This window comes from Homo sapiens, chromosome 17 (assembly GCF_000001405.40).
Source record: "Homo sapiens chromosome 17, GRCh38.p14 Primary Assembly".
Taxonomy (NCBI): Eukaryota; Metazoa; Chordata; class Mammalia; order Primates; family Hominidae; genus Homo; species Homo sapiens.
The window spans coordinates 48,887,236-48,908,285 of NC_000017.11; the positions used below are offsets into that span (position 1 = coordinate 48,887,236).

Here is a 21,050-nt window from a genome sequence, read left to right on the forward strand (position 1 = left end):
TGGTTGAAGGAGCAAAATCCTGTCTCAAAAAAAAAAAAAAAAAAAAGGCTGTACCATTTGACTGTTTTTTTTTTTGAGACGGAGTTTTGCACTGTCACTAGGGCTGGTGTGCAGTGACACAATCTCAGCTCACTGCAACCTCTGCCTCCCGGGTTCAAGCAATTCTCCTGCCTCAGTCTCCCGGGTAGCTAGGATTACAGGTGCCTGCCACCACGCCCGGCTAATTTTTAAATATTTTTAGTAGAGACAGAGTTTCACTATGTTGGCAAGGTTGGTCTCAAACTCCTGACCTCATGATCCACCTGCCTTGGCCTCCCAAAGTGCTGGGATTACAGGCGTGAGCCACCACGCCCAGCCCATTTGACTTTTTTTTAAAGACAGGGTCTCGCTCTGTTGTCCAGGCTTCAGTGCAATGGCAAAATCATAGTTCACTGCACCGTCAAACTCCTGGGCTCAAGCAATCCACCCACCTCAGCCTACCAAATAGCTGGGACTGCAGGCCTGTACCACCACGCCCCACTAATTTTTTGTAGAGATGGGGTCTCACTATGTTACCCAGGCTGGTCTCAAACTCCTAACCTCAAGCAATCCTCCCACCTAGGCCTCCCAAAGTACTGGGATTACAGGTGTGAGTCATTGTGCTGGCCTCACATTTTTTAATTTTTTAAATCAGAAGAGAGGGAGAAGGAACTTGGAAGTTAGTGCAAAGATAATGACTGAGAACCATAGACTGAAGGTCTAAGTTGTTGAAAAAATGGAATGCAGGCTGGGCACGGTGGCTCACGCCTGTAATCCCAGCACTTTGGGAGGCCGAGGCGTGTGGATCACGAGGTCAGGAGATCAAGACCATCCTGGCCAACACGGTGAAACCCATCTCTACTAAAAATACAAAAAAAAAAAAAAATTAGCTGGACATGGTGGCAGGCGCCTGTAGTCCCAGCTACTCGGGAGGCTGAGGCAGGAGAATGGCGTGAACCCAGGAGGTGGAGCTTGCAGTGAGCCGAGATCGCGCCACTGCACTCTAGCCTGGGCAACAGAGCAAGACTCCGTCTCAAAAAAAAATTATTTATCTATCTACCTATCTATCTATCTATCTATCTATCTATCTATCTATCTATCTATCTATAAATTAGCTGGGCGTGGTAGTGGGTGCCTGTAATCCCAGCTACTGGGGAAGCTGAGGCAGGAGAATCGCTTGAACCCAGGAGGTGGAGGTTGCAGGGAACTGAGACTGCGCCACTGCACTCCAGCCTAGTGACAGAGCAAGACTCTGTCTCAAAAAAAAAAAAAAAAAAAATTAGGCAGGCGTGGTGGCAGGCACCTGTAATACCAGCTACTTGGGAGGCTGAGGTAGGCGAACTGCTTGAACCCAGGAGGCGGAGGTTGCAGTGAGCCGAGATTGCGCCATTGCACTCCAGCCTGGCAACAAGAGCAAAACTCCATCTCAAACAAAAAAGAGAGGCCGGGTGCAGTGGCTCAAGCCTGTAACACCAGCTCTTTGGGAGGCCGAGGCGGGCAGATCACGAGGTCAGGAGATCAAGACCATCCTGGCTAACACGGTGAAACCCCGTCTCTACTAAAAATACAAAAAAAATTAGCCGGGCGTGGTGGCGGGCGCCTGTGGTCCCAGCTACTCGGGAGGCTGAGGCAGGAGAATGGCGTGAACCCGGGAGGCGGAGCTTGCGGTGAGCCGAGATCGCGCCACTGCACTCCAGCCTGGGCGACAGAGCGAGACTCCGTCTCAAAAAAAAAAAAAAAAAGAAAGAAAAAAAAAAAGAACTTTTGCTTTGGACCCAGACAGACCTGGGTTCAAAGCACCTAGCACAGTATTTGTCATATAATGAGGTATCGATAAATGATAGCTTATAACACTAACACAAAGAAAGACTGGATAATCTGCTCAGAAGATACCAGTTATGTGTTGTAGCCATGGTAGTGAGCTCAAAACTCCACTCTCCTTTTTGTTGTTGTTGTTGTCGTTGTTGTTTTTGAGATACGGTCTCGCTTTGTTGCCCAGGCCAGTGCAGTGGTGCAATCAGAGTTCACTGAAGCCTTGACCTCCTGAGCTCAAGTGATCCTCCCACTTCAGCCCCCTGAGTAGCTGGGACTACAGGTACCTGCCATCACACCGAGCTAATTTTTTTTTTTTTTTTTTTTTTTTGGAGAGATGAGGTTTCGCTATGTTGCCCAGGCTGGTCTCCAATTCCTGGGCTCAAATGATCTGCCCACCTTGGCCTCCCACACACTTTCAATTATACCATGCTAGCAGGATATTTTAAATCTCCACATGATATGAAAATGTGCTGGCCCAGCACAGTGGCTCACGCCTGTAATCCCAGCACTTTGGGAGGCTGAGGCAGGTGGATCACCTGAGGTCAGGAGTTCGAGACCAGCCTGGCCAACATGGTGAAACCTTGTCTCTACTAAAAAAAAAAATTTTTAAATTAGCTGGGCGTGGTGGCCCGCACGCTGCGGTCTCAGCTACTCGGGAAGCTGAGGCAGGAGAATGGCTTGAACCCAGGAGGCGGAGGTTGCAGTGAGCCGAGATCTCGCCACTGCACTCCAGTCTGGGCGAAAGAGTGACACTCAGTCTCACAAAAAAAGAAAAAAGAAAAAAAAAGAAAATGTGCTGGGCACGGTGGTTCATGCCTGTAATCCCAGCACTTTGGGAGGCCAAGGCGGGCAGATCACGAGGTCAGGAGTTCAAGACCAGCCTGGCCAACAGAGTGAAACCCCATCTCTACTAAAGATACAAAAAAATTAGCCAGGCATAGTGGTGCGCACCTGTAATCCCAGCTACTCAGGAGGCTGAGGCAGAGAATTGCTTGAACCCGGGAGGCAGAGGTTGCAGTAAGCCGAAATCACGTCATTGCACTCCAGCCTGGGTGACAGAGCAAGACTCTATCTCAAAAAGAAAAGAAAAGAAAAGAAAAGAAAAGAAAATGTTTTTCTGGCCAGGTGCAGGTAGCTCACATCTGTAATCCCAACACTTCCAGAGGCTGAAGTGGGAGGATCCTTGAGGCCAGGAGTTTGAGACCAGCCTGGACAACATAGCAAGATCCCACCTGTAGTCCTAGATACTTGGGAGAGTGAGGAGGGAGGGTTACTTGAGCCCAGGAGATTAAGGCTATAATAGTGAGGGATGATTGCACCACTGCACTCCAGCCTGGGCAACAGAGTGAGACCCTGTTTCTAAAAACAAAAAAATTATTAAAAAAAAAAAAGTTTTCTTAAGAGTCCAGACTTGTGAATTGCCAGATTAGTGTAATTTTTAAAATATGTTTCTATTATAAAGTACCCATACTCATAAAAATATAAATCAATTTATTACACCCTCTAGAATTCACTATTAATTTTCAACATTTTTTTCATTCTTTTTCCATGCATATTTTTTCACAATTCTATGCATAGTTTTGCATTATAAAATATTTCTCAATATAAAATCTTCTTCAAGGCCAGGCGCAGTGGCTCATGCCTGCAATCCCAGCACTTTAGAAGGCCAAGGCGAGCAGATCACTTGAGGTCAGGAATTCAAGACCAGCCTGACCAACATGGTGAAACCCCTTCTCTACTAAAAATACAAAAATTAGCCGGGCATGGTGGTGCGCGCCTGTAATCCCAGCTACTTGGGAGGCTGAGGCAGGAGAATTGCTTGAACCGGGGAGGCAAAGGTTGCAGTGAGCAGAGACCGCACCACCGCACTACAGTGTGTGAAACAGAGTGAGACTCCGTCTCAAAAAATAATAATAATAAAAATAAAATATTCTTCAAAAACATGGCCGGGCGCGCTGGCTCACGCCTGTAATCCCAACACTTTGGGAGGCTGAGGCGGGCGGATCACGAGGTCAGGAGATCGAGACCATCCCGGCTAACACGGTGAAACCCCGTCTCTACTAAAAATACAAAAAATTAGCCGGGCGTGGTGGCGGGCGCCTATAGTCCCAGCTACTCCGGAGGCTGAGGCAGGAGAATGGCGTGAACCCGGGAGGCGGAGCTTGCAGTGAGCCGAGATAGCGCCGCTGCACTCCAGCTTGGCAACAGAGCGAGACTCCGTCTCAAAAAAAACACATGATTTTATTTCCTGTTTTATTTCTGCTTATTTCATCAAGTGAAAATATCATAACTTATTTCACCTTTTACTGTCAGTGGAACATTTACTTGTTTCCAATTTCGACAAACTCTGCAAATGCACATCTTTTTAAAAGAATCTGCATTTCTGATTCTTCAAAATAAATTCCTAGAAGTGATATTACTGGATGAAAAGTGGATGGAGAGCTTAAAGGCTCTTAGTTACTCAAGAATTACTGGGTCAAAGAGGATGGCCCATTCACAGCCTTTGAATAAAAATAAATATTGCCAAACTGCTTTCAAGGAAGGTTTTCTAATTCATCCTCTCACCAGCAATATAGGAGAGCGTGTGGCTCACATTAATAAAAAGAACTCTGCTGTTTTGAGCAGTACTAAGCGGAGCGTTTAAACTTATATTTCTTTGATTAGGAAGGCTGACATTCGTTCCTGCAATTCATATTTCTTCCTTACTGAATTGCCTGTTCCTATCCTTTGCTCGTTTTTCTATAGGGATATTATTTCATTCTTTCAGTGTTGTTTTTACAAAATAAACAATTTTTTTGTTTGTTTTTTCCCCCGAGACGGAATCCTGCTCAGTTGCCCAGGCTGGAGTGCAGTGGCGCGATCTCGGCTCCCTGCAACCTCGGCCTCCCGGGTTCAAGCGATTCTCCTGCCTCAGCCTCCCAAGTAGCTGGGATTACAGGCACGCGCCACCACCATGCCCGGCTAATTTTTGTATTCTTAGTAGAGACGGGGTTTCACCATGCTGGTCAGGCTGATCTCGAACTCCTGACCTCAGGTGATCCGCCCGCCTCGGCCTCCCAAAGTGCTGGGATTACAGGCGTGAGCCACTGCACCCGGCCCAACAAATGTTTTAGAAAGCCATCTGGATGATAGTCCATGACTGCTGAACACCGGCTGAGGTCCACAAAACTGCGCTCACCGCTTGGGGACTTTCCAGCCGGCCTTTACTCTCCATGGAAAGCGGTCTTTCCACAAACCTCCACGGTGGGAATTACTGCAAAGGCATCGGCTCTCCCGGCCTAGAATATCTCGCGGGATCTCAGCTGTCCTTGGGCCCCCCCCCTCAGCGCAACTACCAATCCCAACATGCAACGCGCCCCGTGGCCCAAGCGCCCGAATGAAGGCTCGGGGCCAAAGTCATGTGTCTGACTGCGTCACACGTCCCGTCATCTCTCCCACGCCTTTTTCTTCAGCGTACACCTTGGTCGCCATCTTGTGCGCGAGGTTATGGAACCTCTGAGTCCCGCCAACTCTATGGTCGAGCGTTTCAGGGATCGGCCAATCGTAATCCAGATCTCGTAGGAAAGCCCCGCCTCTATCCGCATGGAGGCGGGAATTGCCACGAAGCTCCTGTGGAGGGAGAGGAAGCAGCTGCGGAAAGCCAATAAGAGTGGGGAATCGATGACGTCAACCAATGGGGACGCGGGGATATTACGGCCAATGAGAATGGAGAAGGTCCAGGACACGTGGGTGGGGGAAGCTGAGCGCTGAGACCAAGGGCTAAAGCTGGGAGGTGAGTCTGTCACCTTGAGCCGGGCGAGCGCTGTGGGCCAAGCAGGGGTTGCAGGGTAGTAGGAGTGCAGGTGACTTGGGGCCGGGAGCCAGCAATAGGCAGGGTTGTGGGCTGGGCAGTGTGGAGGGGTATTTCCCCCCAGTGCTGGGAGAGGCTATGGCAATCTAGATATGGCCTTATCAATGAATGTTAATTACCAACGGTAATGAACGATTGACTGCCTCGGCTGGGGCGGGTCGGGGACTGCTGTGTAAGATGGGCAGGATCCTGCGCGACACCTGCCCAGTATCCGCCTCCAGTCTTCCCGAGAGACCATTCCCTTTCGCAACATTTCCTTCCTGGGGCTTGGGCACATTTCCTTGACTTCCGATCTCCATGACTTTGCTTTGAAGACCCACTGCTCTGTCCCTCTGACCTCTAATGCCCTCCTCAGCTGGGGCACGGTGCAAGGAAGAGCGTGGTCTAGGGAGGACGGACGGGGGTGAAGGGGACGACCAAAGGTCGTCATTATAAGCAAACAACCAGGGTCTCAGTGGGATTATTATTACTATTTTTTCCCCCTCTGCAGACTGAAAAAATGCAGACCGCCGGGGCATTATTCATTTCTCCAGCTCTGGTAAGGTGCCGCGCCGCAGTGCTCTGTAGTACCAGGTGTATGGTGTGGACGCCATCAGTGTTTAATGAATGAACCCAGGGGAGCTTGGCGTCCTGATGATGTAGGCTCTTTGAGGTGGCTGTAGGATGTGATGAAGGTAACCCCTGTTTATCTGGGCCTGTGAACCAAGCTATCTTGGCTTTGGAATGTGGTCAGAGAGTCTGGATTTGATTTTTATCCCCAGTCTGTCCTGGCCATAGAGACAGCCCACTAAAACAGTGGTTTTCAACAGTGGCTGCACGTTAGAATCATCCAGGGAACTTTTTAAAATCCTGATGCCTAGGCTGCACCTTAGACCATTTGCATCAGACTTTGGGAATGGGGGTGGAACCCAGGCATCTGTATCTTTTAAGACTTCTCCAGATGATTCCACCGTGCAGCCAAGTTTGAGAACCACTGCACTAAAAATTATTTCAAAAAAGCCATGTTACAGATGGCTCTCCTTGGATGGCTATTCCAGTCGGTTTCCGGGGCTGACTGGCCCACTCCATTTAGGGTGTGTAGCTGTGAGTGTATTTTAGCAGAATAAAATTTCCCCCATCTGATTACTTGGTGATCTGGGTATAAACCTTTCCTGTACCTGCTTTGGTATTAGTGTGGGTTCTTGTTCCATTCTGAGAAGCTGATTAAAGCTGTGCCCAAAGAAGTGAACTTTGGTTTGGTTTTGAATGGTGAAGGTTGCCACTGCTGACTATATCAAGCTATTGAGACAGCTGTCTCTGGGGCAGGCCTATCTGATAGGAACAGGAATAAATTGACCTTGAAATACATTGAACTTATTCTGTTTATGAAATCTGTAGTCATTTTTGACAGCTCAGCAATTAGGATTTTTTTTCCTTGACTGATTTGGTAGGATGTGGCTTTCTGATTTTACAGATCCGCTGTTGTACCAGGGGTCTAATCAGGCCTGTGTCTGCCTCCTTCTTGAATAGCCCAGTGAATTCATCTAAACAGGTAAGGGAGGAATAGCTCTCTTAGGAATGTTCCCAAGGCCCAGGATGGTGGCTCACACCTGTAATCCCAGCTCTTTGAGAGGCTGAGGCGAGAGGATCACTTGAGCCCAGTTGTTCAAGACCAGCCTGGGCAACACAGTGAAACCCCATCTCTACAAAAAAAATAAAAAAATTAGCCATGTGTGGTGGCATGTGGCTGTAGTCCCAGTTACTCCAGGGCTGAGATGAGAGGATTGGTTAATCCCAGAGGTCGAGACTGCTGTGACTATGCCACTGCACTCCAGACTGGGTGACAGAGCAAGACCCTGACTCATAAAAACCCATTAATTAATTTTTTTTAAATCAAGGAATGTTCCCAGACAGGGGTCCTTCAGCTTAAGTTGCCTTTAGACCAAAGTGGGAGGAGAGTTGGAGAATCTGTATGCTTTAATAGTTCTAAGTCCCCCAAGGTAAGCCTTGTAGGTAAGAAACTTATAAAAGTGAGGTGTGCCTAACCCATGAAATTTCCCTAGTCCTGTCTGCTGTCTGACAACAGACTCTAAGACTAATTCCCAGCATACTCTGCAATCAGAGTATTCTGCATTTACCAGGCAGTTTGCCAACAGTTTCAGAGCTCAGGTGGGTGGGGTGAAGGAGGTAGAGTCAGCCACCTGTCCTTATGCCATACTATCTCTCTGCTATCTCGCCTGCCTTGCTTCTCTTTCTAGCCTTCCTACAGCAACTTCCCACTCCAGGTGGCCAGACGGGAGTTCCAGACCAGTGTTGTCTCCCGGGACATTGACACAGCAGCCAAGTTTATTGGTGCTGGGGCAGCCACAGTTGGTGTGGCTGGTTCAGGGGCTGGCATTGGAACCGTGTTTGGCAGCTTGATCATTGGCTATGCCAGGTAAGTTTGGGTGGTCTACAGCATCTCCCACTGTAAATTCCACCCCGTTTGGGGAAGCCTCAGCTGGAGGAGCTCCCTTCAGGAGCCTTCAGGTTGATTTCATCTACATCATAGTTTCTCCAGAGAAAACATGCATCCAGCCTGGCTCACTTAAACTTACCAGGTTGGCCCACTCTGCTTGTCCATCCAAATCCCCAGGATCTGTGCAGGCTAGGCCCTCTCCCAGGAGTAACAGTCCCCATTCACCTCACCCTCCTGTGTCCTCCCCTCCCCTCACCCCTTCCTCTCCCTCAACTGGCAATGATCTCTGTCCCTCCCAGGAACCCGTCTCTCAAGCAGCAGCTCTTCTCCTATGCCATTCTTGGCTTTGCCCTGTCTGAGGCCATGGGGCTTTTCTGTTTGATGGTCGCCTTCCTCATCCTCTTCGCCATGTGAGGCTCCATGGGGGGGTCACCGGCCTGTTGCTACTGCAACTCCACACCATTCTTGGTGCTGGGGTGTGTTAAGCTTTACCATTAAACACAACGTTTCTCTAAACCCCTGTCTGTGCCTCTGTCCTTTGACCTTCAGGAGGGCCTTGGTAGAAGGGTGAGGAGAGGGAATTTGCTCAGCCATGGGTGATGGGAACTCCTCAGGGCTGAGAAGGAGCACTGCCATGACTGTAAGAACAGAGGGTTCTCATGTTCTCCCAGGAGGAATATGGGTTTGTCTGAGTAATGAGATTTTTGCCTTTTCCCTTCAGATTTATTACAGTTGGCCATCTGTATCCATAGGTTCCATATTTGTGGATTCAACTAACAGTAGACAGAAAATATTCAGGGAAAAAAGTGAATGGTTGTGTCTGTACTGCACAAGTACAGGCTTTTTTTTTCTTGTCATTATTCCCTAAACAATACAGTATAGCCATTATTTATATAGCATTTACCTAGTATTTAGGTATTGTAAGTAATCTAGAGATGATTTAAAGTATATGGGAGGATGTGCATAGGTTATATGCAAATACTACACCATTTTATATAAGGGACTTGAGCATCTGTGGTATCCACTGGGGTCCTGGAGCCAATCTCCCACAGATACCAAAGGATAACTGTAACAACTGCATATTAATAGGTTACATTTTTGAAGGGCTTAATTTACACCAAGCATTTTACATTCGTTATCTCAACAACCCTAAGAGTTATAAGCACAACTTTAAAACTGTTTTGCCAATGACAGACCCAGGGTTTGGGGAAGCAAAATAACTTATCCAGTATCACAGAGCTAGTAAGTGGCAGATTGGGGATTTCTCCCCCAGGCCAGCTTAAACCTTAACTGCACTGTTGTCCTATCTATTTTCTTTTTTTTTTTTTTTTGTCCCATCTATTTTCATTCTGGTCACACAACAATTAATGTGGCACAGAAAGGGAAACTTAGTCCCAAAGAAGTTGTATAGCAGGTGAAAGGTAGAGGTAGGCTTCTATCTGCCTGTGTTTAGCCCCATTTGTAGGTTTCATTTTCACTATCAATTAGCCTTTCTCAGAGTATCTAAATGTTCTTAAAGCAGATAAAGTACACAATCCTGGTTCTTGGAGAATTTATCACCTTAGTTTTGCTAGGATAAAAGACTATCTGGAGCCAGGCATGGTGGCTCACGCCTGTAATCCCAGCACTTTGGGAGGCTGAGGCCGGCGGATCACCTGAGGTCAGGAGTTCGAGACCAGCCTGAACAACATGGAGAAACCCAGTCTCTACTAAAAATACAAAGTTAACCAGGCATGGTGGCGCATGCCTGTAATCCCAGCTACTTGGGAGGCTGAGGCAGGAGAATCACTTGAACCCAGGAGGCGGAGGTTGTGGTGAGCCGAGATCATGCCATTGCACTCCAGCCTGGGCAACAAGAGCAAAACTCCGTCTCAAAAAAAAAAAAAAAAAGATGATTTGGGGGCGTGTGCCAAATAATGAATTCCATAAAGAGCTTCGTCCAGCATCTTCCTTGGGTTCTCAAAGTCTATGCCCACCAGTCTTGCCCCTCTTGGCTAAAGTGGGACTGATAACCCATGTAAAATTAGCTAAGTTGACATATCAACAGTTGCTGCTTCTCTAAGTCCTTGCAGGAGCAAGCCATGGACAGAGAACTCATGCAAAGATGCTGGGAACGTGGTCTGTCTCAAATTGGATGGCTTCAAAAGGAGTAGTAACGTAAAGTGGGATCCATTCTGTGAAAACTTTATACCTCAACTGCAAAATGTGAAATAGTGAAACCAAGAAAATATCTAATTGGTGTTAAGAACACCTTCTAACTGAAAGGCAACTAGCAAAGAGGGTTAAAACATACAGAAAATTTGGATTCCATTTACGTGCAATTTAAAGACAGTCATGTAGGTATTTAAGCATCTTCCTAGGGACCTTAGGGGAAGCAAAGAAATCTAATTCTAATGTCCTTGCCCTCAAGGAGTTTGGGGCACCAACAGAGTAGAAATAAGTACACCATGCCCTACCTCATTGTATATGTGGGTACATGAGCTATGTGCTATAGAAGTTCCCAGAGGAAAAAGGAGGCTGGTGTGAGTTATAATAATGTGGGCTAACATTTGAGCACCTGTGTGTCATGCACAATGCTAAGCACTTTCCACGATTAACTTCCAACATCCCTATAGAATAAGTCAGTTTACAGGTAAGTAAGCAAATGAAGAGGCTCAGAGAGGTGAGGCATTCTGCCTAAATTCTACTAAACCACAGCTGGTTAGTAAAGCTGGGATTCAAACTCCAGAACCTGTGTTCTTAGCTTTGTGCTGACTCATCTGAGGTTTGCACAAGTGTGGTGACTTGCCCAAGGTCATAGAGCATGCCAATGATTCGAATCCCAGTCTGACATTTATACAATCATGGCGTTTCTACCCCAGGATTTCTTGACCTTGGCATATCTGGGGCCAGGTAATTCATTGTTGTGGAGGGGACTCCCTCGTGTAGTGTATGTTTAGCGGCATCCCTAACCTCTACCCGTTCAATGTCAGTAGCAACTGACATCCCCACCCAAGTTGTGACGACAAATTGCCAAATGTCAGAATGTTGACAAATGCCCCCTGGCTGGGGGGCAAAATCATGCCCAGTTGAGAGCTACTGGTCTACCACAATCTGCTGCATCTCCTCAGCCTTTTCACCTTAAGAAACTCCCTCAAGTTTGCCCACAACAAGCCAGTGACAACCAGAAGCAAAGCCCAGGAATCTCACGGCTGAATAGGAAATGGAACTGAGGTTAAACTGGTGACTGATGTTTCACCAAGAGAGCAATGGATTAACTGGTAATGCTGTTACACAAACAGAATGGCACAGCTGGCTTCCTACCAGGTCACTTCCTACCACCTCCAGTGGCAATCAAGAAGCAGCCCCCAGGGAAGGTGGTTGCTCTATCTTTCCTGTGAAATTCCAGGAATCCAGTTTTTGCCAAGAGGCTGGTAAGAATTTCCTGCTCGGCCGGGCGCGGTGGCTCACGCCTGTAATCCCAGCACTTTGGGAGGCCGAGGCGGGCGGATCACGAGGTCAGGAGATCGAGACCATCCCGGCTAAAACGGTGAAACCCCGTCTCTACTAAAAAATACAAAAAATTAGCCGGGCGTAGTGGCGGGCGCCTGTAGTCCCAGCTACTTGGGAGGCTGAGGCAGGAGAATGGCGTGAACCCGGGAGGCGGAGCTTGCAGTGAGCCGAGATCCCGCCACTGCACTCCAGCCTGGGCGACAGAGCGAGACTCCGTCTCAAAAAAAAAAAAAAAAAAAAAAAAAAGAATTTCCTGCTCTTTGGTCTCGGCTGCAGAAGCAAGACGAAGGGAACGTCAACGTTTGGCAAGCGTTGCAATAAGACACACAGGTTGTGCCACCAATATGGCTCTAAGGCCTACCACCTTCAGAAGTCGACCTGTGGCGGGCCAGGCGCGGTGGCTTACGCCTGTAATCCCAGCACTTTGGGAGGCTGGGGCGGCGGGGGCGGGGGGGGGGGGGGGGAACATGAGGTCACGAGTTCAAGACCAGCCTGGCCAACATGGTGAAATCCCGTCTCTACTAAAAATACAAACAAATTAACCGACCACAGTGGCAGACGCCTGTAATCCCAGCTACTCAGGAGGCTGAGGCAGAAAATTTCTTGAACCTGGGAGGTGGAGGTTGCAGTGAGCCAAGATCACACCACTGCACTCCAGCCTGGACAACAGAGTGAGACTCCATCTCCAAAAAAAAAAAAAAAGTCGACCTGTGGCAAATGTGGCTACCCTGCCAAGCACAAGAGGAAGTATAACTGGAGTGCCAAGGCTCAAAGATGAAATGCCACTGGGACTGGTCGAATGAGACACCTAAAAGCTGTATACCACAGATTCAGGCATGGATTTCGTGAAGAAACAACACCTAAACACAAAAGGGCAGCTGTTGCAGCATCCGAGTCATCTTAACAATTTCAACCGATAGGCCGGGTGCGGTGGCTCACCCCTGTAATCCCAGCACTTTGGGAGCCAAGGCGGCTGGATCACAAGGTCAAGAGATCAAGACTATGCTGGCTGACATGGTGAAACCCCGTCTCTACTAAAAATGCAAAAAAAAATTAGCTGGTCATGGTGGCACATACCTGTAGTCCCAGCTACTCGGGAGGCTGAGGCAGGAGAATTGCTTGAACCTAGGAGGCAGAGGTTGCAGTGAGCCAAGATCGTGCCACTGCACTCCAGCCTGGGCAACAGAGCGACACTCCATCTCAAAAAAAAAAAAAAAAACTTTCAACCATTAGTCATGCAATAAATATTCTGTTTTTTTAAAATAATAATAAAAATTTAAAAAGAATTTCCCTTCATGAAGGGCTCCAAACAGCCTTGGAATGGCTGCATTTATAAACTCAAGTCAGCAGAATTGGGAATGTGGTTGGTGGGCCCACGGAGTCCAGGAGAGTCAGGGGAGAATGCTTCCTTACCCCCTACCAAGCTAGTTAGTCCCAGAACTTTATCATTAAGGTTCTTTATCTAGGGTCTATGGACTGGTCCATAGATGAGACCATTTTGTTTAGTGTAAAATATTTTTAGTGGATACAGCAATGCATTGTTCTTGGGAGAGGGCCCATTGTATTCATTATATTCTCAGAGGAATAGTGAGCAGAAAACAATTAGCAACCATCACCTTAAGAGTTCAGCAATGGTGGCAAAGAGAGGGAATTAACGGGATAACACATAACAGATTAAATTATTAAAAACAGATGTCATGGCTGGCACGGTAGCTCACGTCTGTAATCCCAGCACTTTGGAAGGCCAAGGTAGGTGAATCACGAGGTCAGGAGTTCGAGACCAGCCTGGCCAACATGGTGAAACCGCGTCTCTACTACAAATACAAAAAATTAGCTGGGCGTGGTGGCAGCCACCTGTAATCCCAACTACTCGGGAGGCTGAGGCAGGAGAATCGCTTGAACCCAGGAGGTGGTGGTTGCAGTGGGCCAAGATCGCGCCACTGCACTCCAGCCCAGGTGACAATACGAGAGACCATCTCAAAAAAAAAAAAAAAAAAAACAGATATTACAATCAGAAGCTTCAAAACATCTAGTCCAAGTTCTGATTATTCTCTTTAGTGTAAGGTTTATGACATGGTGGGAATTCTTTTTCATTTATCCCTGGCATTTAACCAAGACAAAAGGCTGGGCCCTGGAGGTCTACTCCAGAGGGCCATAGGACCCAGGATTTTAGGGAAGGGAAGGAGAAGGATCTTCATGGTGTATCTTCTCAGAGGATTGAGGCACAGCAGAGACCTGAACCCCAGGACACTTGCTAATGCCTGTCAGATGGAGGGCACTTGCCTAGGTGCCACGAGCGACGTGCTACCAAACCTTGTTGCACCAAGAGACAGCCCAATGCACTGTAGTCAGTGCTAAGGAGAGAGAGGCTTTGATCCAGGTTCCTGAGTTCCACTCAGTTGTGTCAATTACCTCTGAGGGTATGGAAGTGGCTCCAAGGATGCACATGTTTGCCCTCTGCCCAAGCTGCCAGGGGAAAGCAGCTAAGTGTTGGCCTTGAAAAAGTGAGCACGGAACTAAGAAGCACCAGCTTATGTTCTGCTCCCTCTGTCTGGCCCTTCCTCTCTCCCCCAGCTTAGAGGCCTCCCAGAGGTAGTTAACTGGTCCTTTAAGCAGCTGCCATCCCCTGCAGCCCTTCAGGCCCTGACTTGCAGGTTCTCTGTGCAAGCTTGGCTCAGCCTTTTTGGAAATATAATAGGTATAATACTGTTAAAATGAGGATACTGGAGGAAAAAAGAAGAAAAAATAAGCATGGCAGAGGAAGTAAATGCTAAGATATATAGCTGCCAAGCATGGTGGCTCATGCTTATAATCCCAACACTTTGGGAGGCTGAGGCGGGACAGTCATTTGAGGCCGGGAGTTCAAGACCAGCTGGGCAACAAAGTGAGACCTTGTCTGTCTGTCTCTCTCCTCCCCCCGCCCCCCCACCCCCGCCCCCGTCTCCCTCTCTCTCTCCATATATATATATATATATATGGCAACAAAGTGAGACATTGTCTCCATATATATACATATATATATATATATGGCAACAAAGTGAGACCTTGTCGCCATATATATACATATATATATATATGGCAACAAAGTGAGACATTGTCTCCATATATATACATATATATATATATATATATATATATGGCAACAAAGTGAGACCTTGTCTCCATATATATACATATATATATATATATATATATATATGGCAACAAAGTGAGACCTTGTCTCCATATATATACATATATATATTTTTTTCTTTTTCTTTTTTTTTTTAGACTGAGTCTCACTCTGTCGCCCAGGCTGGAGTGCAATGGTACGATCTCTGCTTGCTGCAACCTCTGCCTCCCGGGTTCAAGCTATTCTCCTGCCTCAGCCTCCCAAGTAGCTGGGATTACAGGCACACACCATCACGCCCGACTAATTTTTGTATTTTTAGTAGAGATGAGGTTTCACCATGTTGGCCAGGCTGATCTCAAACTCCTGACCTCAAGTGATCCACCCACCTCGGCCTCCCAAAGTGCTGGGATTACAGGCGTGAGCCACCGCATCTGGCCTCTAAACATATTTTTAGATAAAAACTGTAAGATCTATAGCCAGGGGAAGGGCAGCTGGCTACCGTGTTCTCATTTCCATTCTGCTCACCAGTTATGCAACACCCACTGAATGTCAGGTCCAAGTGATAGAAAGATAGGTGCCCCCATGCTTCTTGCCCAGGAGGAGGTCATATCTAGTGGCCAGAGGGATGAGTAAAAAGCCATTAAAATAAAAAGTAGTGCATGTTATAATAAAGGTATGAGTAATCAGCCATGAGAACCAGAGGAGGGAGTAATTAAAAATAATAATAATAATATGCCTGGAAGTGTCAGTGTTTAGCAGAGAAAGTAATATTCCAGCCAGCCTTGAAGAATGAGTAAGAATAATAAGAGTTAATAATTATTGAACATTTCCAGTGACCAGGCATTGTATACATTCATTATCACATGATCTTAGTAGCTACTATTATTTTCTCAATTTTGCTGATGAAGAGCAGAGGTTCATAGAGCTTAAACAACTAGGATTTCCCTACCTAGGATATGGTAGAGGTAAAGAGTATTCCAGCGGGCAGCAGTAGCTCATGCCTGTAATCCCAGCACTTTGGGAGGCCGAGGCGGGCGGATCACCTGAGGCCAGGAGTTCGAGAGCAGCCTGACCAACATGGAGACACCCCATCTCTACTGAAAATACAAAATTAGCCGGAAGTGGTGGTATATGCCTGTAATCCCAGCTACTTGGGAGGCTGAGGCAGGAGAATCGCTTGAACCCGGGAGGCAGAGGTTGCAGTGAGCTGAGATCGCACTATTGCACTCCATCCTGGGCAACAAGAGTGAAACTCCATCCCACCTCAAAAAAAAAAAAAAAAGAGTATTCCAAGTAGAAAAAATGGGCAAAGGCTTGGAGGGGGGAGAAGGTACACTGGAAAGTGAGATGCCAATTATTTGTACAGTCCTTGCCACTTTACAAAAGCTTCTGGAAATGCCACACTTAATCCTCAGGGAAACCTTGAGAGGTAGGAATTTTCACTATTCTATATTGCAAAATATAGGCTGCAAAAATAGGCTTCAAAGAAGGTAAGAGATGCAGATTAAAAACCTGAACCTCCATCTAAATCTAAGGTAAGGGTTTTCTGTTCATTGCCCCATCACTACCAGACCTTGTACTTGAAAATAATGGTCCAGTGGTGAGATACACTGAGGAATCCCCTCACCCCATGGGCCACCTCTGGGCCTTTGTATTCTGTAGCTATGGAGGAGCTATGGAATAGTGTTTTTCTTTGTATGAGGTTACCAAGCAAACTGACCTTTGACCACCTTACTGAATAAATAATAATCAAGCAAAATTCTGGAGTCCTTTTTTTTTTTTTTTTTTTTTTTGAGACATAGTCTCCCTCTGTTGCCCAGGCTGGAGTGCAGTGGCGTGTTACCTCCCGGGCTCAAGTGATTCTCCTGCCTCAGCCTCCCAAGTAGCTGGGATTACAGGTGCCCACCACCACGCCCAGCTAATTTTTGTATTTTTAGTAGAGATGGGGTTTCACCATGTTGGCCAGGCTGGTCTCAAACTCCTGACCTCAAGTGATCCGTGCACCTCAGCCTCCCAAAGTGCTGGGATTATAGGCATGCGCTTTGCAATCTCAGCTCACTGCAACCTCCACCTCCCGGGTTCAAGCAATTCTCCTGCTTCAGCCTCCCGAGTTGCTGGGACTACAGGCGCGTGCCACCACGCCCAGCTAATTTTTGTATTTTTAGTAGAGATGGGGTTTCACCATGTTGGCCAGGATGGTCTCGATCTCTTGACCTCATGATCCACCCACTTCAGCCTCCCAAAGTGCTGGGATTACAGGCATGAGCCACCGCACCCAGCTGGCAACCACTGTTAACATTTTCTTGGGTATCCTCTTTTTTTTTTTTTTTTTTTGAGACAGTCTCACTCTGTTGCCCAGGTTGGAGTGAAACAACACGATCTCAGCTCACTGCAACCTCTGCCTCCCAAGTTCAAGCAATTCTCCTGCCTCAGCAGGAGTAGCTGGGATTACAGGCGCCTGCTGCCATGACCAGCTAATTTTTGTATTTTTAGTTTAGACGAGGTTTCACCATGTTGGCTAGGCTGGTCTCGAACTCCTGACCTCAGGTGATCCACCTCAGCCTCCCAAAGTACTGGGAGTACAGGATGAGCCACCACTCCCGGCCTTGTGTATCCTTTTATAGATATTCTGGCATCTTTATTATGCTGATAAAACACTATACCAACAAAACGCAAAATCTGCATAAAATACTATATTGATTCATTTCATTTCATGTTGCGCCTAAGCTGTGCCATGCCCTGTGCTGGATTCACATATAATACATTGTCTAGAGCCCCAAGGGTGTACACGTTGTGTGCGTATGTGTGTTAAGAGGGGATGGGGATGCTTATACCTGTAATCCCAGCACTTGGGAGGCTGAGTGGGGTGGATCACTTGAGATTAGGAGTTCGAGACCAGCATGGCCAACAGGGCGAAACCCAGTCTCTATTAAAAATATAAAAAGCAGCTGGGCATGGTGGCCCACACTTTACAAAAACTTCTGGAAATGTCATAGTTAATCCTCTGGGAAACTTTGAGAGGTAGGAATTACTGAAAATACAAAATTAGCCGGACGTGGTGTAGTCCCAACTACTCAGGAGGCTGAGGCACAAGAATCCCTTGAAACTGGGAGGCAGGGTTGCAGTGAGCTGAGATCAGGCCACCGCACTCCAGTCTGGGTGACAGAGCAAGACTCCCTCTCACAGAAAAAAAAAAGGGGGGGGGGTGGGGGCAACAGGTACCAAGGGACCATAATTAGTACAAGGTAAAATATAAGTGTGGGAGTGTCACGTAGTGGTTAGCACTTGTTCTCAGAAGTCAGATTTGGTTTACAGTCCCAATTATGCGACTTGCTCTCAGCATGACCCCATGTAATTCACTGAACCTCTGTAAGTCTGTTTTTCCATCTATCAGACCAGATTAATAATAGTACCTAAGGCCAGGTGCGGTGGCTTACGCCTGTAATCCCAGCACTTTGGGAGGCCAAGGCGGATGGATCATAAGGTCAGGAGTTCAAGACCATCCTGGCTAACACAGTGAAACCCCATCTCTACAAAAAATATAAAAAATTAGCCAGGCGTGGTGGTGGGCGCCTGTAGTCCAGCTACTTGGGAGGCTAGGGCAGGAGAATGGTGTAAACCTTGGAGGTGGAGCTTGCAGTGAGCCGAGATCGCGCCACTGCACTCCAGCCTGGGCGACAGAGCAAGACTCCAAACCAAAAAAAAAATAAAAATAAATAAATAATAGTACCTACTACTTCACTGAGTGTTGAAAGGAATAAAGCCAAAGTATACAAAATGCCTGCCACATATTAAACACTCAATAAATGTCTGCTAAAAAAATAATTTTTTAGGCCAAGCACGGTGGCTGACGCCTGTAATCCCGAGCACTTTAGGAGGCCAAGGCGGAAGGACTGCTTGAGCCCAGAAGTTCGAGACCAACCTGGGCAACATGGTGAAACCTCGCTTCTACAGAAAAATACAAAAATTAGCCGGGCATCGTGGCACGTGTCTGTAATCCCAGCTACTTGGAGGGCTGAGGCAGAGGTTGCAGTGAGTTGTGATCCCATCACTGCACTCCAGTCTGGGTGACAGAGCAAGACCCTGTCTCAAAACAAATCAATCTTTAGCTCTCCATAAATCTTGGTCATTATCCTTCAGGTCTGCATTCCATTACTGTAAATTCATAAAACTCTAAAAGGCAGGAAGGGTGGGGTGGGTGGATGACTTCTGTAATCCCAGCACTTTGGGAGACCGAGAAGGGCGGATGACTTGATCCAACTCCAAAAGGAGTTGGAGACCTTCCTGGCCAACATGGTGAAACCTCGCCTCTACTAAAAAAATACAAAAAATTAGCCAGGCGTAGAGGCGCCTCTACTAAAAAAATACAAAAAATTAGCCAGGCATAGAGGCATGCTTGTAATCTCAGCTACTGGGGAGGCTGAGGCAGGAGAATTGTTTGAACCCAGGAGGCGGAGATTGCAGTGAGCCACGATTGCGCCATTGCACTCCAGCCTGCGTGACAAGAGCAAGATTCCCTCTTTAAAAACAAAAAACAAAAAACAAAAAAACTCTAAAGCCAGACTCTTTTTTTTGAGACGGAGTCTCACTCTTTTACCCAGGATGGAGTGCAGTGACTCAGTCTCGGCTCACTGCAACTTCTCCTTCCCGGGTTCAAGTGATTCTTCTGTCTCAGCCTCCTGAGTAGTTGGGACTACAGGCGCCTGCCAACACACCCGGCTAATTTTTGTATTTTTAGTAGAGACGGGGTTTCACCATATTGGTCAAGCTGGTCTCGAACTCCTTACCTCAGGTGATCCACCCACCTCGGCCTCCCAAATTGTTGGGATTACAGACGTGAGCCACCGTGCCCGGCCCAGACTTCTTTTTTAAAAAACCAAACTTGGTGGCAAAACATCCAAAGTGAGGCTATTCATTTGACTTGGTACGAATGTTCATACACTTTGATGCAGAAATGTCAATAGGTTTGGCTACCCGGCGCTGCCCCACTCCTTGCTTGGTGTGTCATTCCAAAGTCTGAAATACATCTGGCCCCACTGGTTTCCAGTTAATATTGATCCTATATTTTTGCTAGGGAAAAAAGTTTTTGTTTTTGTTTTGAGACGGAGTCTTGCTCTGTCGCCCAGGCTGGAGTGCAGTGGCACGATCTCCGCCCACTGCAAGCTCCGCCTCCCGGGTTCACGCCATTCTCCTGCCTCAGCCTTCCGAGTAGCTGGGACTACAGGCGCCCGCCACCACGCCCGGCTAATTTTTTGTATTTTTAGTAGAGACGGGGTTTCACAGTGTTAGCCAGGATGGTCTTGATCTCCTGACCTAGTGATCCGCCCGCCTCAGCCTCCCAAAGTGCTGGGATTACAGGCATGAGCCACCGCGCCCGGCAAGGAAAAACAGTTTTTTAGGAAGGCCCCTGTCATTCTTAGTCCATAGGAATTTTTTTTTTTTTTTTTGAGACGGAGTCTGGCTCTGTCGCCCAGGCTGGAGTGCAGTGGCGTGATCTCAACTCACTGCAAACTCCGCCTCCCGGGTTCAAGTGATCCACCTGCCTAAGCCTCCTGAGTAGCTGGGACTACAGGTGCACGCCACCACGCCCGGCTAATTTTTGTATTTTTAATAGAGGCGGGGTTTCACCATGTTAGGCTGGTCTCGAACTCCTAACCTCGTGATTCGCCCACCTCGGCCTCCCAAAGTGCTGGGATTACAGGCGTGAGCCACCGAGCCTGGCAGATTATTTTTCACTTTAAACATTTTAGGAAAGACCCAAAGAATCCTCAGGGTTTACACTCACAGTACCTCGATTCCTGTATATTCCAAGATTTGTGGGAAGAAAAAGTACTAAGCTTGGAGTCAGGAGGCCTGATGTTTCTTCCTTTCACCAAGCTTCTCTAGTTCTGTTTCATTATCCCCATGGCAACAACTAGCAACAGTGACTGGCATTTAGTAGGCCCTTCATAAATATATGTTGAATAAACTCTAAAAGAGGTAGCTTTTCATTCCAAGTTGAGTTCTCTCTTGGTCCTGTTGCAGGCAAGGGCAATGGTACCCTGCCCTAGGTGCACAAGTGTGCAGGAGGGATCAATCGCAGAGCCTTTCCGAGAGAAGGGGCCCAAAGCGAGTCAACTTCTCTACTGAGCTTCCCATGAGGATGCTGGATCCCCAATCCTAACCATGCAGACGTCTGAGGGTCGCCGCCATTAACGGGAATGATATGGCCCTTCCTCCCCCACTCCCTCCTCTCTTCTCCCCTTTCAACACTTGAATTGGGCTCTCCGCTACTTCCGCACAGCGCAGGACCCACACGAGCCCAGAACCATCACGGCCTGCTAGTT

General features: G+C 47.5%; 1 protein-coding gene, 1 long non-coding RNA gene and 1 pseudogene across 3 annotated transcripts in view, besides 6 other annotated features; 2 read left to right on the plus strand and 1 right to left on the minus strand.

The window, feature by feature from the left end:
- Nucleotides 1-21,050, minus strand: part of LOC105371814 (uncharacterized) — a 34,124-nt gene that overhangs the window by 12,376 nt on the left and 698 nt on the right. Inside the window, exon 2 of the long non-coding RNA NR_135674.1 lies at nucleotides 5,012-5,442. This is a non-coding gene — a long non-coding RNA (uncharacterized LOC105371814). The remainder of the gene's footprint in view (nucleotides 1-5,011; nucleotides 5,443-21,050) is intronic.
- Nucleotides 4,368-5,347: an enhancer, noted in NCBI's record as "H3K27ac-H3K4me1 hESC enhancer chr17:46968965-46969944 (GRCh37/hg19 assembly coordinates)". NCBI's record gives its function as "activates a minimal SCP1, AML or CMV promoter by ChIP-STARR-seq in primed H9 embryonic stem cells {active_cell/tissue: H9 hESC(primed)}" and the evidence as "EXISTENCE:reporter gene assay evidence [ECO:0000049][PMID:30033119]".
- Nucleotides 4,368-5,444: a biological region, named in NCBI's record as "H3K27ac-H3K4me1 hESC enhancer GRCh37_chr17:46968965-46969944".
- Nucleotides 4,985-5,444: an enhancer, noted in NCBI's record as "active region_12342". NCBI's record gives its function as "activates an Ori minimal core promoter by ATAC-STARR-seq in GM12878 lymphoblastoid cells {active_cell/tissue: GM12878}" and the evidence as "EXISTENCE:reporter gene assay evidence [ECO:0000049][PMID:35858748]".
- Nucleotides 5,455-5,574: an enhancer, noted in NCBI's record as "active region_12343". NCBI's record gives its function as "activates an Ori minimal core promoter by ATAC-STARR-seq in GM12878 lymphoblastoid cells {active_cell/tissue: GM12878}" and the evidence as "EXISTENCE:reporter gene assay evidence [ECO:0000049][PMID:35858748]".
- ATP5MC1 (ATP synthase membrane subunit c locus 1) lies at nucleotides 5,552-8,636 on the plus strand. 2 transcript variants are annotated; one of them, NM_005175.3, is made up of 5 exons: nucleotides 5,552-5,675; nucleotides 6,174-6,221; nucleotides 7,137-7,214; nucleotides 7,921-8,099; nucleotides 8,420-8,636. In NM_005175.3, exons 2-5 carry the CDS (start codon nucleotides 6,183-6,185, stop codon nucleotides 8,532-8,534), a joined length of 411 nt encoding a protein of 136 aa, NP_005166.1. In that variant the 5' UTR covers nucleotides 5,552-5,675; nucleotides 6,174-6,182; the 3' UTR covers nucleotides 8,535-8,636. The 2 variants fall into 2 exon arrangements, with proteins under 2 accessions (NP_005166.1, NP_001002027.1); NM_001002027.2 differs by having other exon boundaries at nucleotides 5,552-5,605.
- Nucleotides 6,155-6,264: an enhancer, noted in NCBI's record as "active region_12344". NCBI's record gives its function as "activates an Ori minimal core promoter by ATAC-STARR-seq in GM12878 lymphoblastoid cells {active_cell/tissue: GM12878}" and the evidence as "EXISTENCE:reporter gene assay evidence [ECO:0000049][PMID:35858748]".
- Nucleotides 6,305-6,354: an enhancer, noted in NCBI's record as "active region_12345". NCBI's record gives its function as "activates an Ori minimal core promoter by ATAC-STARR-seq in GM12878 lymphoblastoid cells {active_cell/tissue: GM12878}" and the evidence as "EXISTENCE:reporter gene assay evidence [ECO:0000049][PMID:35858748]".
- LOC100419622 (ribosomal protein L37 pseudogene) lies at nucleotides 11,863-12,526 on the plus strand (annotated as a pseudogene).

Coding starts and splice junctions, on each gene's coding strand:
- ATP5MC1 (NM_005175.3), top strand. CDS start 6,183: ATGCAGACCGCCGGGGCATTATTCATTTCTCCAGCTCTG. Junction 6,222..7,136: donor TATTCATTTCTCCAGCTCTG/GTAAGGTGCCGC, acceptor CTGATTTTACAG/ATCCGCTGTTGTACCAGGGG. Junction 7,215..7,920: donor CAGTGAATTCATCTAAACAG/GTAAGGGAGGAA, acceptor TTCTCTTTCTAG/CCTTCCTACAGCAACTTCCC.